Source organism: Homo sapiens, chromosome 2, assembly GCF_000001405.40.
Source record: "Homo sapiens chromosome 2, GRCh38.p14 Primary Assembly".
Taxonomy (NCBI): domain Eukaryota; kingdom Metazoa; phylum Chordata; class Mammalia; order Primates; family Hominidae; genus Homo; species Homo sapiens.
Genome location: NC_000002.12, coordinates 84,966,916 through 84,979,655, shown reverse-complemented (window position 1 = coordinate 84,979,655; position 12,740 = coordinate 84,966,916). Strand labels below are relative to the sequence as shown.

Below are 12,740 nucleotides of genomic sequence, written 5' to 3'. Positions count from 1 at the left end.
AAGACTTTTATTAGGAACAGCATTCTACTTTTAACTTTTATGAATATGCAGTTTAGGGAGCGCTTCCTTTGAGTCCATATGCATGAAAGTAGCCCCACAGCTATATTTATAAAGTGATTTTTTTTTTTTTTTTAGACAGAATTTCGCTCTTGTTGCTCAGGCTGGAGTGCAATGGGTGATCTCAGCTCACTGCAACCTCCGCCTCCTGGGTTCAAGAGATTCTCCTGCCTCAGCCTCCCGAGTAGCTGGGATTACAGGCGCCTGCCATCACGCCCAGATATTTTTTTGTATTTTTAGTACAGATGGGGTTTCACTATGTTGGCCAGGCTGGTCTCAAAATCCTGACCTTAAGTGATCCACCCATCTTGGTCTCCCATGGGATTACAGGCATAAGCCACAGCGCCCAGCTCATAAAGTGATTTAAAAAACATTATTTCTAGGATAATTCAATGACAGCTTAGCCTTCACTAAAAACTTTTGGAGCTTCTAGTTTAAAAACAAAAAAAACATGGCCAGGCGCGGTGGCTCACACCTGTAATCCCAGCACTTTGGGAGGCAGAAGGGGGAATCACTTGAGGTCAGGAGTTCGAGACGAGCCTGGCCAATATGGTGAAATCCCATCTCTACTAAAAATACAAAAATTAGCCAGGCACGGTGGCTCATGCCTGTATCCTAGCACTTTGGGAGGCTGAGGTGGGCAGATCACCTGAGGTCAGGAGTTCGAGACCAGCCTGACCAACATGGACAAACCCTGTCTCTATAAAAACACAAAATGAGCCAGACATGGTGGCGCATGCCTGTAATCCCAGCTACTCGGGAGGCTGAGGCAGGAGAATCGCTTGAACCCAGGAAGTGGAGGTTGTGGTGAGCTGAGATCGCGCCATTGCACTCCAGCCTGGGCAACAGGAGCGAAACTCCATCTCAAAAAGCAAACAAACAAAAATTAGCCAGGCATGGTGGTACATGCCTGTAATGCAGCTACTTGGGAAGCTGAGGCAGGAGAATTTATTGAACCTGGGAGACAGAGGCCACAGTGAGCCGAGATCATGCCACTGCACTCCAGCCTGGATGACAGAGTGAGACTCTGTCTCAAAAAAAAACCCAAATACATTGTGCACATGTACCCTAAAACTTAAAGTATAAAAAAAAAAAAACCCAAAAACCAAAAGACAAAAAACCTAGGCAAATATATATGATAGATATCATAAAGTTGATGTTTTGAAAATAAGTTATGATGCATGGATTTCTTTTAAAAAGGTTGCAAAGCTTAATATGAAGGGGTCTGTTTAGTTATTTCACATCATAAGTTTCATAAGCTGCTACTGTGAAAAAGTTACCATCTTACAAGACTGCTGCTAAGGCTGGGCACGGTGGCTCATGCCTGTAATCCTAGCACTTTGGGAGGCCGAGGCGGGTGGATGACCTGAGGTCGGGAGTTCAAGACCAGCCTGACTAACATGGAGAAACCCTCTATCTACTAAAAATACAAAATTAGCTGGGTGAGGTGGCGCATGCCTGTAATCCTAGCTACTCGAGAGGCTGAGGCAGGAGAATCACTTGAACCTGGGAGGCGTAGGTTGCGGTGAGTTGAGATCGCCTCATTGCACCCCAGCCTGGGCAACAAGAGCGAGGAAAGAAAAAAAAAAAAAGATTGCTGCTAAAACATCTTAAAATCTCAGACTAAAAGGAATCTCTTCCAAATTGAGTTCCCAATTTGAAACAAGAACATGTAGTTATGTTTTACTACATTTTAACTTAAACATGAATATAAAAATATGGGAAAATGAGCTTCAAAATGAACTTTAAATGAAATTATGAAATCAAAGACCCCAGAAATTAAAATGTGATTCATTTTCCCATAAATTTACATTCTTATATATTCTCTATTGAAAGTCAAGGTAAATGTAATTTACGATTTATTCAAACTGAAAAAGTTGCTGGGCATGGCAGCTCACACCTATAATCCCAGTACTCGAGAGCTGAGGTGGGAGAATCACTTGAGCCCAGGAGTTTGAGACCAGCCTAGGCAATACTGGAAGATCCAGTCTCTACAAAAAAGAAAAAAAAAAAAAGTCGGGTGTGGGGCGCACACCTGTGGTCCGACCTGCTATGGAGGCTGAAGTGGGAGGATTCTTTGAGCCTGCGAGGTCAATGCTGCAGCGGGCTATGCTGGTGCGCAGCATGGGCGACAGAGACCCTGTCTCAAAAACAAAAAACGAACTGAAAAAGTCTTAAGAATGTCATAATCTGTTAACAGATTACAGTTAAAGTACAATAAGTTGTAAGAAGACCTGATGGTAAGGATCTTATCAGTGGGAGTCCACTTACATTTCTATAGGGAGGCAAAAGGCACTGCATTAAAATCACATGCTAATTACCAATCTTGGCTTTGCAGTCCCCAAATCCCAAAACCAAATTATTTCTGTCTATATGTGTGCTTCAGTGGCAGATAACATTTTTTGAGAAGAGAAAATTAAGGCTAGGAGCAATGGCTCACACCTGTAATCCCAACACTCTGGGAGGCTGAGATGGGAGGATCACTTGAGCCTGGGAGATGGAGGTTGCAGTAAGCCAAGATCCCACCAATGTACTCTACTCTAGCCTGGGCAACAGAGAGTAAAAAAAAATAATTATAAAAAAGGAGAGAGAGAGAGAAAATTAGAATCTACTAAGAAAAGAGTGGTACAACTTTCAAAAAGTTGGAGCTGCCATTCTACAATGTATACATATTTCAAAACATCATGTTATACATGATAAATATATACAATTTTTGCCAATTAAAAAAATAAAAACAAAAAAAGTTGGGACTAAGTAGATTAATGGCCTACGTAGTCTTGTATTTTACATTTTAAAAATAAATAGTATCAGATACTTCTGAAACTAGCATAACAATATGACCACCTGCTCATTTATCCACTATCATTTTTACATGTGAAAATCTTCAAAAAGCTAGAGAAATTATAAATCAGATAAAGATAAGGACTCTACTTGAAATCTCAATTTGTTTTTTTTTGTTTTTTTTTTTTTAAAGAAATAGGGTCTCTCAGCCTCCCATCTAGCTGGGACTACATGTGCACATCACTGCAACCGGCTTGAAATCTCAAACAATTTTACCCAAAATCAAAAGTAGCCCAGAAAGAGTTAAGAAGGTGCTGGGCGTGGTGGCTCATACCGGTAATCCCAGCACTTTAGGAGGCTGAGGTGGGTGGATCACTTGCGGTCAGGAGTTCGAGACCAGCCTGGCCAACATGGTGAAACCTGTCTCCACTAAAAATAGAAAAATTAGCCAGTAGCAGTGGCAGGTGCCTATAATCCGAGCTACTCGGGAGGCTGAGGCAGGAGAATCACTCGAACACAGGAGGTGGAGGATGTAGTGAGACAAGATCACGCCACTGCATTCCAGCCTGGGCGACAGAGCGAGACTCTGTCTTTAAAAAAAAAAAAAAAAAAAGGAGTTAAGAAGGCACTCAAGAAAAAAGTGCTAGAATCACAGTAGAGTACCTCTCTGAAATTTGACAAAATTAGTAAAAGTTGGCAATTACTTTGTCATCAGTGTTTATCCCTTCCTTATGGCATGTTTCACAATGCACTGTGGAAGCTACGTAAAAAATGCATCTTCCTTGCCAGACTTAAAGTAAGGAGCTGCATCTTATTCACTTAGCCCCACATTCCTTGGAACCTAGCAGACTGCCTTACACATAGTAGTGACTGAAAGGTTGAATGATTTAAGGCGACACATGTACCTAGATCCAGGTAATCAATTAGGCTCTAATCTATGCAAGAACATTCATGATTTCATTTTAGCTAATAAGCAGCGAGCAATTTGTTAAGTTGCTTTTTTTTATTTGGAAAGCTTTAAAAGTAGATTTTAAGCTCTGAATAACATACTTACATTTTAAATGTATTTGAAAGTATGATAGTGAGACATTTTAAAAAATACATCAAGATAAAAAATGATTGGGTTCACTGTGAACTAGACAGTGTTGGCAGGGTGAACACAAAGTGGGTGCTAAAGTCTATAAAATGTTAACATGACAAGAACACCACAAAGTGAGTTAAAAGTGGCCCTACAATTCTCACTGGAAAAGTATTAACGGGCAAGCAGGAAAAATGTAGGGTACTGCCATCTCCACTAAGGGTCTGTAGGGTGGGGAGCCTGTTGTCCACTCCTGAGGAACAATTATTTCCATTCCTCATGGTGCTGCTGAAAAGTGAAGTACGGAGGAGCTGGTTCAGTCTGTGAACTCATTTCCCATCACCCAAAGAAAATGACGGAATCCCAAGCTGACTGGGCCCCTTCTAGACTCTTGATAGTTCAAGCTCTATCAACTCTCTAAAGCGCCAGTCTAGGGCAGAGGTAAAGTAAGGCAAACTACAGCCCTCAGGCCAAATCCAACCACCACTTTTTTTTTTGGAGATGGATTCTCACTCTGTCGCCCAGGCTGGAGTGCAGTGGCACGACCTCAGCTCACTGCAACCTCCACCTCCTGGGTTCAAGCAATTCTCTGCCTCAGCGTGAGCCACCACGGCCGGTCCACCACCAGCTTTTATATAGCCCGAAAGTTAAGAATGGTTATTTGTATTTTTGAATGGTGGGGGTGTCAAATGACAAATCATATTTCATGACACATGAAAATTATATGAAATTCGGCCAGGTGCGGTGGCTTACGCCTGTAATCCCACCACTTTGGGAGGCCGAGGCCGGCGGATCACGAGGTCAGGAGTTTGAGACCACCCTGGCCAACATGGTGAAACCCCATCTCTACTAAACGAAATACAAAAATTAGCCGGGCGCAGTGGTGGGCGCCTGCAATCCCAGCTACGCGGGAGGCTGAGGCAGGAGAATCACTTGAACCCGGGAGGTGCAGGTTGCAGTGAGCCAAGATCACGCCACTGCACCCTAGCCTGGGCAACAGAGCAAGACTGTGTCTCAAAAAAAAAAAAAAAAAAAAAAAAAAAAAAAATATATATATATATATATATATATATATATATATGAAATTAAAATGTCAGTGTCCACAAATAAAGTTTTAATTGGAACAGAGCCATGATCTTTCAATTACAGGTTGTCTATAGCTGCTTTCGTACTATTACAGCTCCGCCAAGCCTGCAATGTTTGCCACCTAGCCCTTTACAGAAGAAGCATGCTGAACCCGGGACTAGAGCATCTCTCTATGCTCCTGGTTGCATTGCCTTTCTCAGAGGCACTGCTTCACAAGGTTGAGCCTTCAAGCTTGACAGGTGTCCATCTCAGGACTGTGTCATCCAAAGTTACATTAATAAAATCATAGGATTTAGTGTAATTCATTAGGGTGGGTACAAAGACAAAGTAACATATTACCTGCACACATAAGGCCCTGAAAAGGAAGCACCAAGCAAGTACAACATGATAGGCTTGTTCAAACCTTTTACCAGACTATTATATCCAGTTCAGGATCACACTACTGAAAGGAAATGAGAACTACAGAGAATTTGGAGGTGGACAGATGACTGAGAGTGCAAAAATTACACCACTAAAGAAACACGGAGGCTGGGCGTGGTGGCTCACGCCTGTAATCCCAGCACTTTGGGAGGCCAAGGCGGGTGGATCACCTGAGGTCAGGAGTTCAAGACCAGCCTGACCAACATGATGAAACCCGATCTCTACTAAAAATACAAAAATTGGATGGGTGTGGTGGCAGGCGCCTGTAATCCCAGCTACTTGGGAGGCTGAGGCAGGAGAACTGCTTGAATCTGGGAGGTGGAAGTTGCAGTGAGCCGAGATCACGCCACTGCACTCCAACCTGGTGACAGAGTGAGACTCCAGCTAAAAAAAAAAAAAAAAAAAAAAGAAAGAAATAAAGAAAAAGAAAGAAAGAAAGAAATGCTGAAAGAAATGGGATTCTTTGGCCCAAAAAAGGCAAAGGTAAGAAAAGAACTAATAGCAAGGGTGCCAAACACTGTATTTACTGATAGGTCAAAGTCTTACTGATGACAATAATGACAGTCTGAACTAATATTCCACAAAATATGTATCTAATGAGTTAAATGTGATTCGTGAGACTGCTATTCCTGTCTTAGGCCATAAACTAGACCCTTGAAAGAGAATCACTTGTCGAATATTGTACTATAAGTCTTCAACAGATGTATTTAGGTATGTTCCTTTTTCATTAGGTATGTTCTATTTACTGACATTAACATAAGTTACTAGGAAAGGTGTGCTACTAGTGTGCTGAGGTTCAGCAATATTCAAGTAACTAAAAGGTAATATAAGTTTCATAACCACACACCTTTGCACAGCACCAAATGGGGGGAAATGGGCTTAAATTACAGAATATATGTTACATTCAAGAATGTTCCAAATATGAGATTTTAATTACTCTAACAGAGCACTGGGGGTGAAGGAATTTTCTTCCCAGGACACTTCAATTAGAATGCTCGTCTGGAACTATCTGTATGCTTTCTTAGACCAAGGAGAATGGGTCTGAAACACTCTTCCATGGCTGTGATTCTCTAACTAACCCTCCCAGTTTTCAAGAGTAAGAGAGCTTGCAGCCATTGCTCACTTTTGTTTTGTCTTGAAGGTGGTCAATGTACACAGGACTACAGTTTAAGATAAACTTTAATATCCCAAATTGAAAACTGATTATAACTTTAATTACGAGTTCTTAAAATTACAGAGATAAGGATACATTTCGATTAAGCAGACGAAGTGGGGAAAAGAGGCATAGCTTCCTACTTCTGTGTCCCTTTCAATGAGGCTAGGTACCTCATTATTTCAAAATGCCCAACACTTGAACACTGTAAGTACTCAACAAATGCTTTGCGAAGAAAATATAGTATATTTCATATTAGTTTTGTAACTTTTAAAATACAGAATCGTTGAACACAGAATGTTGAGTCAATTTCAACGTCGCAATTAGTAATGCGAATTTTGAAACTTGTTCTAAATACAATTTTAATCAATCTGAGTTTTTCAGCCTTGAAATTCTAAGGTCCGTATTTCCCAAAGAATATCCTTCCCATAGTGCTAAGCACACACTAAACTGACTCACTAAACTTTCTCCACTCCTACATCACCTATACAGGATTTTAAAATCCGGAGTACACAAACTTTCAAGCCACTTCTACAATCTTGTATTAACCTTAGCAGGACAAACTTTTCGCCAAGACTCTTAACACTTTTTATCCAAAAACCTGTAGTAGTGAAACAAAGAAAACACAACCCCCTCCTCCTTTTCTAAACCATATGGCAATAAATTAAAGTTAACTTATTTCTTACCAGCTCAAAGCCTATACATCGACCCTAAACATTTGTCTCTTTGTGCCCTGGGACTGGGCTTAGAGCTGTCTGCTTATTTGCAACTGTACTCCAATCGTGTTTTAAAATGGCAAAACAAGGTCCAAAACGACCCCCGACCATGAACAGACCTCACCATCGTCATTTTCCAAAACCTGGTCTGGTAGGCAGCACATGCCGGCGAGGGCACCAGGGCCGCGGGGAGCGAGCCCTGCTCCGCCTGGGTGACTGAGCAGGGAGTTTGCTTGCTGCGGCGGGGTCGGATCCACCCCGGGAACTTGGTTACCCGAGCCCAGGGACGCGCCGAGGCCTAGCCGCGAGGCCGGGGCGGGCTCCAGGCGGCGAGGGCTTCCCGTCCCTTGGCCGCAGAGCCTTCCCGCCAGCCCCGCGGTCGCCCGCAGGCGGGGACACTCGCCGTCGTCTCCCGGCGACCGGACGCGCCTGCCGGGTCCCGGGCCGGCTCTTTTGCCTCCTGCTGCCGCCCGCGGCCCGGCTCTGCGACCACACCGGGCTCTTCCGGGGCGGCGGGAGCGCTAGGCCGCGCTGGGGCCCGCGGCTCCTGAACCGGCCGGGCGGGCCTTGGCGTCCGGTATCAGTCCCGAAGGCCGAGCTCCCGCCGGTAACGGGCCCCGCCGCCTCCCCTCCCCCTCCGCCCCATGACAGTGCAAACCCTCCGGCCGCCCGGGCCGCCCCGCCTCCAGCACCAGGCCCAGCTAAGGGCCGCGGCCGTGGCGGCAGCGGCGCCGCGGCTCTCCGCCCTCGCTCGCTCGCTCCCGGGTCCAGCGCCTCGGGCCCGGCTCGGGCTCGGCCAAAGTCTCCGCCGCTTCCCGGCCGCCCTCCGCCGCGCCCGGCCCGGGCGGGGTAGGCCGAGGCCCGGGAGGTGCGGGTGGGGGCGGGGGCTCCTCTCACCTTCATGTCGGGACATCCTAGTTCAGACGGTGGCGGCGCGGCCCCTCCCGGGCTCCGGCTGCAGTGTCCCCCGCGGGGTCCCGGCGCTGCCCGCGCCGGCCGGCCGACTCCCACTCGACTCCCGGGCTCGGCCGCGGGGGCGGGGTGGGCAGGGGAGCGCTCCCGCGGCGGCGGCGGCGGCGGCGGCGGGGAGGCGGCGCGGGGCGGGAATGGGGCCGGGCCTGGTCGGGGCTGAGCTCCTCCAGGAGGCGGGTCCGACGCCGCAGCTCCGCCGGCGCCCGCCGTGACTCCGGTCACTCTCGGGCCTGCCGGCTCCCGGCAGCGGCGCGGCGCTCCGCAAATCCCGCTCCTCCCCTCCCCCGGCCCACCCCCCGCCCCTCTCCCCCGGCTCCCGGCCGCCGCCTCCTCCTCCTCCTCTTCCTCCTCCTCCGCCTCCTTCCGCCGCCCGCACGCCAGCCCCGCCTCTCGCTGCCCTCGCCGGGCCCAGCCGCCCGGAGGCCCCGCGGCCGGCGGTCGCGACGGGGGCGACGCGGCGACGGCGGCTCGGGGCGCGGCGCTTGCCCGCGCTAGCCAGCAGGCCGCGATCGGGCGCCCGTGCCCAGCCTCGGCCTGGCCGCCGCCGCCGCCGCCGCGCCGCGCGTAGGGAGGAAGAGGAAATGCCCGGCGCCGGCTCCCGCTGCTCACCGGCGCGGCCCGAGGGGCGCCCGCCCGCCACGCCGCCCCTAGCCCCGCCTGGGGCGGGCCTAGGCCGGGCTATAGGGGCCAGGGCCTTGGGCTGCGCCGGCCGCGGGAGGTGGGTGCTTCTCGGCGGCGAGCTGCGACTCGGAGAGACTCCTGTCCGCAGGTGCATGGCTTCCGGGCGGGCCTCGGGCAGCGAGCTCCAGCCCCACTGAGAGGCCGCGGACCGCCTGGGGACTTGTGTTTGTGTGTATTTTAAGCCAACAGCCCAGAAAGGGAAGGCGACTGGCCCCCGGTCTTCGCCAGTGTTTCCCGGCCGGGTTACTGGTGGTCAGGAGGGAAGCCAGGAGGCTGCCGGGCTCCGAGGCCGATTCCTTGCGAACCATCTCCGTTAAAGACTCCGCGCCGGGCAGCCCGGGAGTCCGGCGGTACCCGCGCAAACTTTGTCCCAGCGCCTTGGCTCACCGTGAATGCCCTGCCTTGAAAATTTGGAGTTTTTTGTTTCCTGAAAGTGGTCTGCTTTTCCGATTTTATCTGTGTTTTCCATTTTTACCTTCTTATTGTCAATTTGTTTTCAGGCATTATTAATTCAACAAATCTTTGTACTGCCCCTTACCACGTGTCGATGGTTCCGTGGTTTGGTGGAAATAGATCGCGCTTTGAAGTCAAGACGGATCGGCCATGGAATTTTGGCTCTGAGATCCTCTGTGTAACCGTGGATGAGCTACAAGGCCTGCTGAGCCTCCATTTGTCTGGTTTTTGTGGTTGTTTTAATTTATCTTTTTCCATTTGAAGTTGTGGGTTTTGCATAAAATTGAACTGTTACCAGGCTAAGTCAACTGAAATTGGAATCTGGGGTACTGCTTGCTTTGAGGTTACTCTTATACTGTCCACCATTTGCTGGCTGTGTGATCTCTAAACCTCTCTGTGCCCTGACTTTTCTATCTTTAAAATGGACGTAACAACAGAGGTTTAATAATAAGAGGTTTGGAGGTTAAGTGCTAAAATGCATATAAAATACCTAGCACAGGACACAGTAAAAAGATTGTTACCGTATTTCATTGAATCTGGTTTTAAGACACTTCCTGATTTCAAAGAAACTAAAAGCTCATCTTGAAGTCCAGGAAGTAGGTTTTGGGTCACTCAGAACTCCCAAGGGACTGTATTTGGTAGTAACTAGTGATAAACAAACTGGAGTTTAAATGAGGACTTTGTCACCAGAGATATTTTTATTGCCTGTATGGAGCTCCTGCACAAATTTATTCCATTTCTCTTGTAGAAAGAGATCCAACCTGGCCGTAAATGGGGTGTGGTGGAGTAGAAAGAAGGGTATTAAGTAAAGCTCTGTGTCGATGCCTTTCTGAGCATTTTACGGTGTTGGCATATGTGATCCTGGGTATCAGGAGCCTCAATTTCTTGGGCTGTAAAAATGGGGAGAACAACGCTGATCCCATTGTCTCCTGATGGGTAAGTGATGTCTATAAATAAATTGTATAGAGATTAAGGCATTATCAGTGCTGTAGTCTGATAAAATGGTGGAGCAGATAGGAAAGCCTACAACAGTACTGAACTGCAGGAGGGACTAAGAGTAAATATAGAGATTTCATTTGCTTGGTTTTGCAGAGGGTTAGCTAACTAAACAGATAACTTTGTTTTCGACAGTTACTTCATTTTTTTCAGTCAGGCAAGAGTAAGGAGAGAGTAACTAAACCATTTTTTTTCCTCTTTAAATAAGAGTAAGCAGAAATATTATGGTTATTTGGGGTTTTCATGACCTTCATTCACTTAGCGGTCAGGCTGTTCAATTTAAAACAACCTTTTGCTTGCTGCCCTGCCATATGGGAAATTTCATTTCCAAAAAAAGGATTAATTTCCAGCCTGGGCGAAACCCTATCTCTACGGAAAATATAAAAATTAGCGGCCAGGAGCAGTGGCTCATACCTGTAATCCCAGCACTTTGGGAGGCCGAGGCAGGTGGATCACGAGGTCAGGAGTTCAAGATCAGCCTGGCCAAGATGGTGAAACCCCATCTCTACTAAAAATACAAAAATTAGCCTGATGTGGTGGCACGCGCCTGTAATCCCAGCTACTTGGGAGGCTGAGGCAGAGAACTGCTTGAACCTGGGAGCATTCCAGCCTGGATGACAGAGTGAGACTCCGTCTCAAAAAAAAAAAAAAAATTAGCTGGGCGTGGTGGCATCCGCCTTTGGTCCCAAATACTCAGGAGGCTGAGGTGGGAGGATTGCTTGAGCCCAGGAGGTCGAGTCTGCAGTGAGCCGTGATTGTACCACCACATCCTAGTCTGAGTGACAGTGTGACACTCTGTCTCAAAAAAGAAAAGAAGATCAAGAAGGATTAATTTAAATCCTTATACCAAATTGTCTACCAAATGATTTTTGTTCCACTCCAGAAATGTTTTCCTCCAGTCCCTTCCTCTCTCTGCACCCTCCTGAGTTCTCCTTTCTTCTGTGGACAACTGTAACTAATGCGTGTTTTTGCTAGGCTGACCCTTCTTTCATACTATGGCCCAATTATGTTTTTTCAAATAAGCTAATGGATGTAAGCACTGGTGAAATCTGAATAAGGTCTGTAGTCTACTTGATAGTATTGTACCAATGTCAGTTTCCTGGCTTTTGATATTTTTCCATAGCTTTGTAAGATGTTCCCATTTGAGAAAGTGTACCTGGGCCCTCTTTGCAACTACCTATGGGTAAATGATTATTTCAAAGTAAAAAATTAAAGTATAGGGACAGAAATTAGATCAATGGTTACTGGCAACTGGAGCTGGGGAAGGGTGGACTGATCACACTTTTTGAGATGATGAGAATATTCTCTAACTTGATTGTGGTATTTACATTACTGGATGACTCTGTGAATCTGTCAAAACTCATAGAACTATACACCTAAAAGGGTGGTTTTTTTTTTTTTTTTTTTTTTTAGATGAAGTCTCGCTCTTGTCCCCCAGGCTGGAGTGCAATGGTGTGATCTCGGCTCATTGCAACCTCCGCCTCCCGGATTCAAGCGATTCTCCTGCCTCAGCCTCCCAAGTAGCTGGGATTACAGGTGCATACCACCACGCCCGGCTAATTTTTTGTATTTTAAGTAGAGGCGGGGTTTCACCATGTTGGCCAGGCTGGTCTCGAACTCCTGACCTCAAGTGATCTACCCGCCTCGGCCACCCAAAGTGCTGGGATTACAGGCGTGAGCCTCCGCACCCAGCCAAAGGGTGGTTTTTACTTCTATATAAATTATACTTCAGTAAACCTGAATTAAGATAAGGAAAGCAAGCTCTTGGCCGGGTGCAGTGGCTCACGCCTGTAACCCCAGCACTTTGGGAGGCGGAGATGGGCGGATCACGAGGTCAAGAGATCGAGAGCATCCTGGCTAAATGGTGAAACCCTGTCTCTACTAAAAATACAAAAAAATTAGCCAGGCGTGGTGGTGGGCATCTGTAGTCCCAGCTACTTGGGAGGCTGAGGCAGGAGAATGGCGTGAACCCGGGAGGCGGAGCTTGCAGTGAGCCGAGATCGCGTCCAGACCTGGGTGACAGAGCGAGACTCCCTCTCAAAAAAAAAAGAAAAGCAAGCTCTCATCACCCCAGCCTCCTGGGGCTTGTAGGATGAAATGTAACTTTAAGGCCCAACGTGCTTTTCCAGCATACGGACTCTTCCTGCCAGCGCACCCTGGGCTTCCTTGTACTGTATTAATTCCTGCCCCTGTGCCTTTGTGCATACTCTTCCTTCTGCTTAGGTGGAGCATAGGAAAGTAAAGTCAAAATTCGGGTTCCCTGTACTCCTGTAAGCCTTCCCTGCCTCCCTTAGGCAAACCAGTAATTTCCTAACTTCCTCCTCTGCTCACTCATGTCGTGCTGTAA

The 12,740-nt window shown here is 47.4% G+C and overlaps 1 protein-coding gene across 3 annotated transcripts in view, besides 5 other annotated features; it reads right to left on the bottom strand.

The window, feature by feature from the left end:
- KCMF1 (potassium channel modulatory factor 1) overlaps positions 1-8,495 on the bottom strand; it is an 88,312-nt gene extending 79,817 nt beyond the window's left edge. For 2 of the 3 annotated variants that reach the window (XM_047445126.1, NM_020122.5), the window contains exon 1: positions 8,189-8,495. Coding sequence is in view for 2 of the 3 variants with exons in the window: in NM_020122.5 (NP_064507.3) it covers positions 8,189-8,204 (16 nt within the window). In the remaining variant the exon portion in view is untranslated. Of the gene's footprint in view, positions 1-7,415; positions 7,806-8,188 lie in introns of those variants that run through there. The other variant, XM_006712052.4, reaches the window with a different exon arrangement.
- Positions 4,139-4,680: an enhancer, noted in NCBI's record as "H3K4me1 hESC enhancer chr2:85202099-85202640 (GRCh37/hg19 assembly coordinates)". NCBI's record gives its function as "activates a minimal SCP1, AML or CMV promoter by ChIP-STARR-seq in primed H9 embryonic stem cells {active_cell/tissue: H9 hESC(primed)}" and the evidence as "EXISTENCE:reporter gene assay evidence [ECO:0000049][PMID:30033119]".
- Positions 4,681-5,222: an enhancer, noted in NCBI's record as "H3K4me1 hESC enhancer chr2:85201557-85202098 (GRCh37/hg19 assembly coordinates)". NCBI's record gives its function as "activates a minimal SCP1, AML or CMV promoter by ChIP-STARR-seq in primed H9 embryonic stem cells {active_cell/tissue: H9 hESC(primed)}" and the evidence as "EXISTENCE:reporter gene assay evidence [ECO:0000049][PMID:30033119]".
- Positions 7,621-8,710: a silencer, noted in NCBI's record as "silent region_11693". NCBI's record gives its function as "represses an Ori minimal core promoter by ATAC-STARR-seq in GM12878 lymphoblastoid cells {active_cell/tissue: GM12878}" and the evidence as "EXISTENCE:reporter gene assay evidence [ECO:0000049][PMID:35858748]".
- Positions 8,741-8,990: a silencer, noted in NCBI's record as "silent region_11692". NCBI's record gives its function as "represses an Ori minimal core promoter by ATAC-STARR-seq in GM12878 lymphoblastoid cells {active_cell/tissue: GM12878}" and the evidence as "EXISTENCE:reporter gene assay evidence [ECO:0000049][PMID:35858748]".
- Positions 9,489-9,568: an enhancer, noted in NCBI's record as "active region_16114". NCBI's record gives its function as "activates an Ori minimal core promoter by ATAC-STARR-seq in GM12878 lymphoblastoid cells {active_cell/tissue: GM12878}" and the evidence as "EXISTENCE:reporter gene assay evidence [ECO:0000049][PMID:35858748]".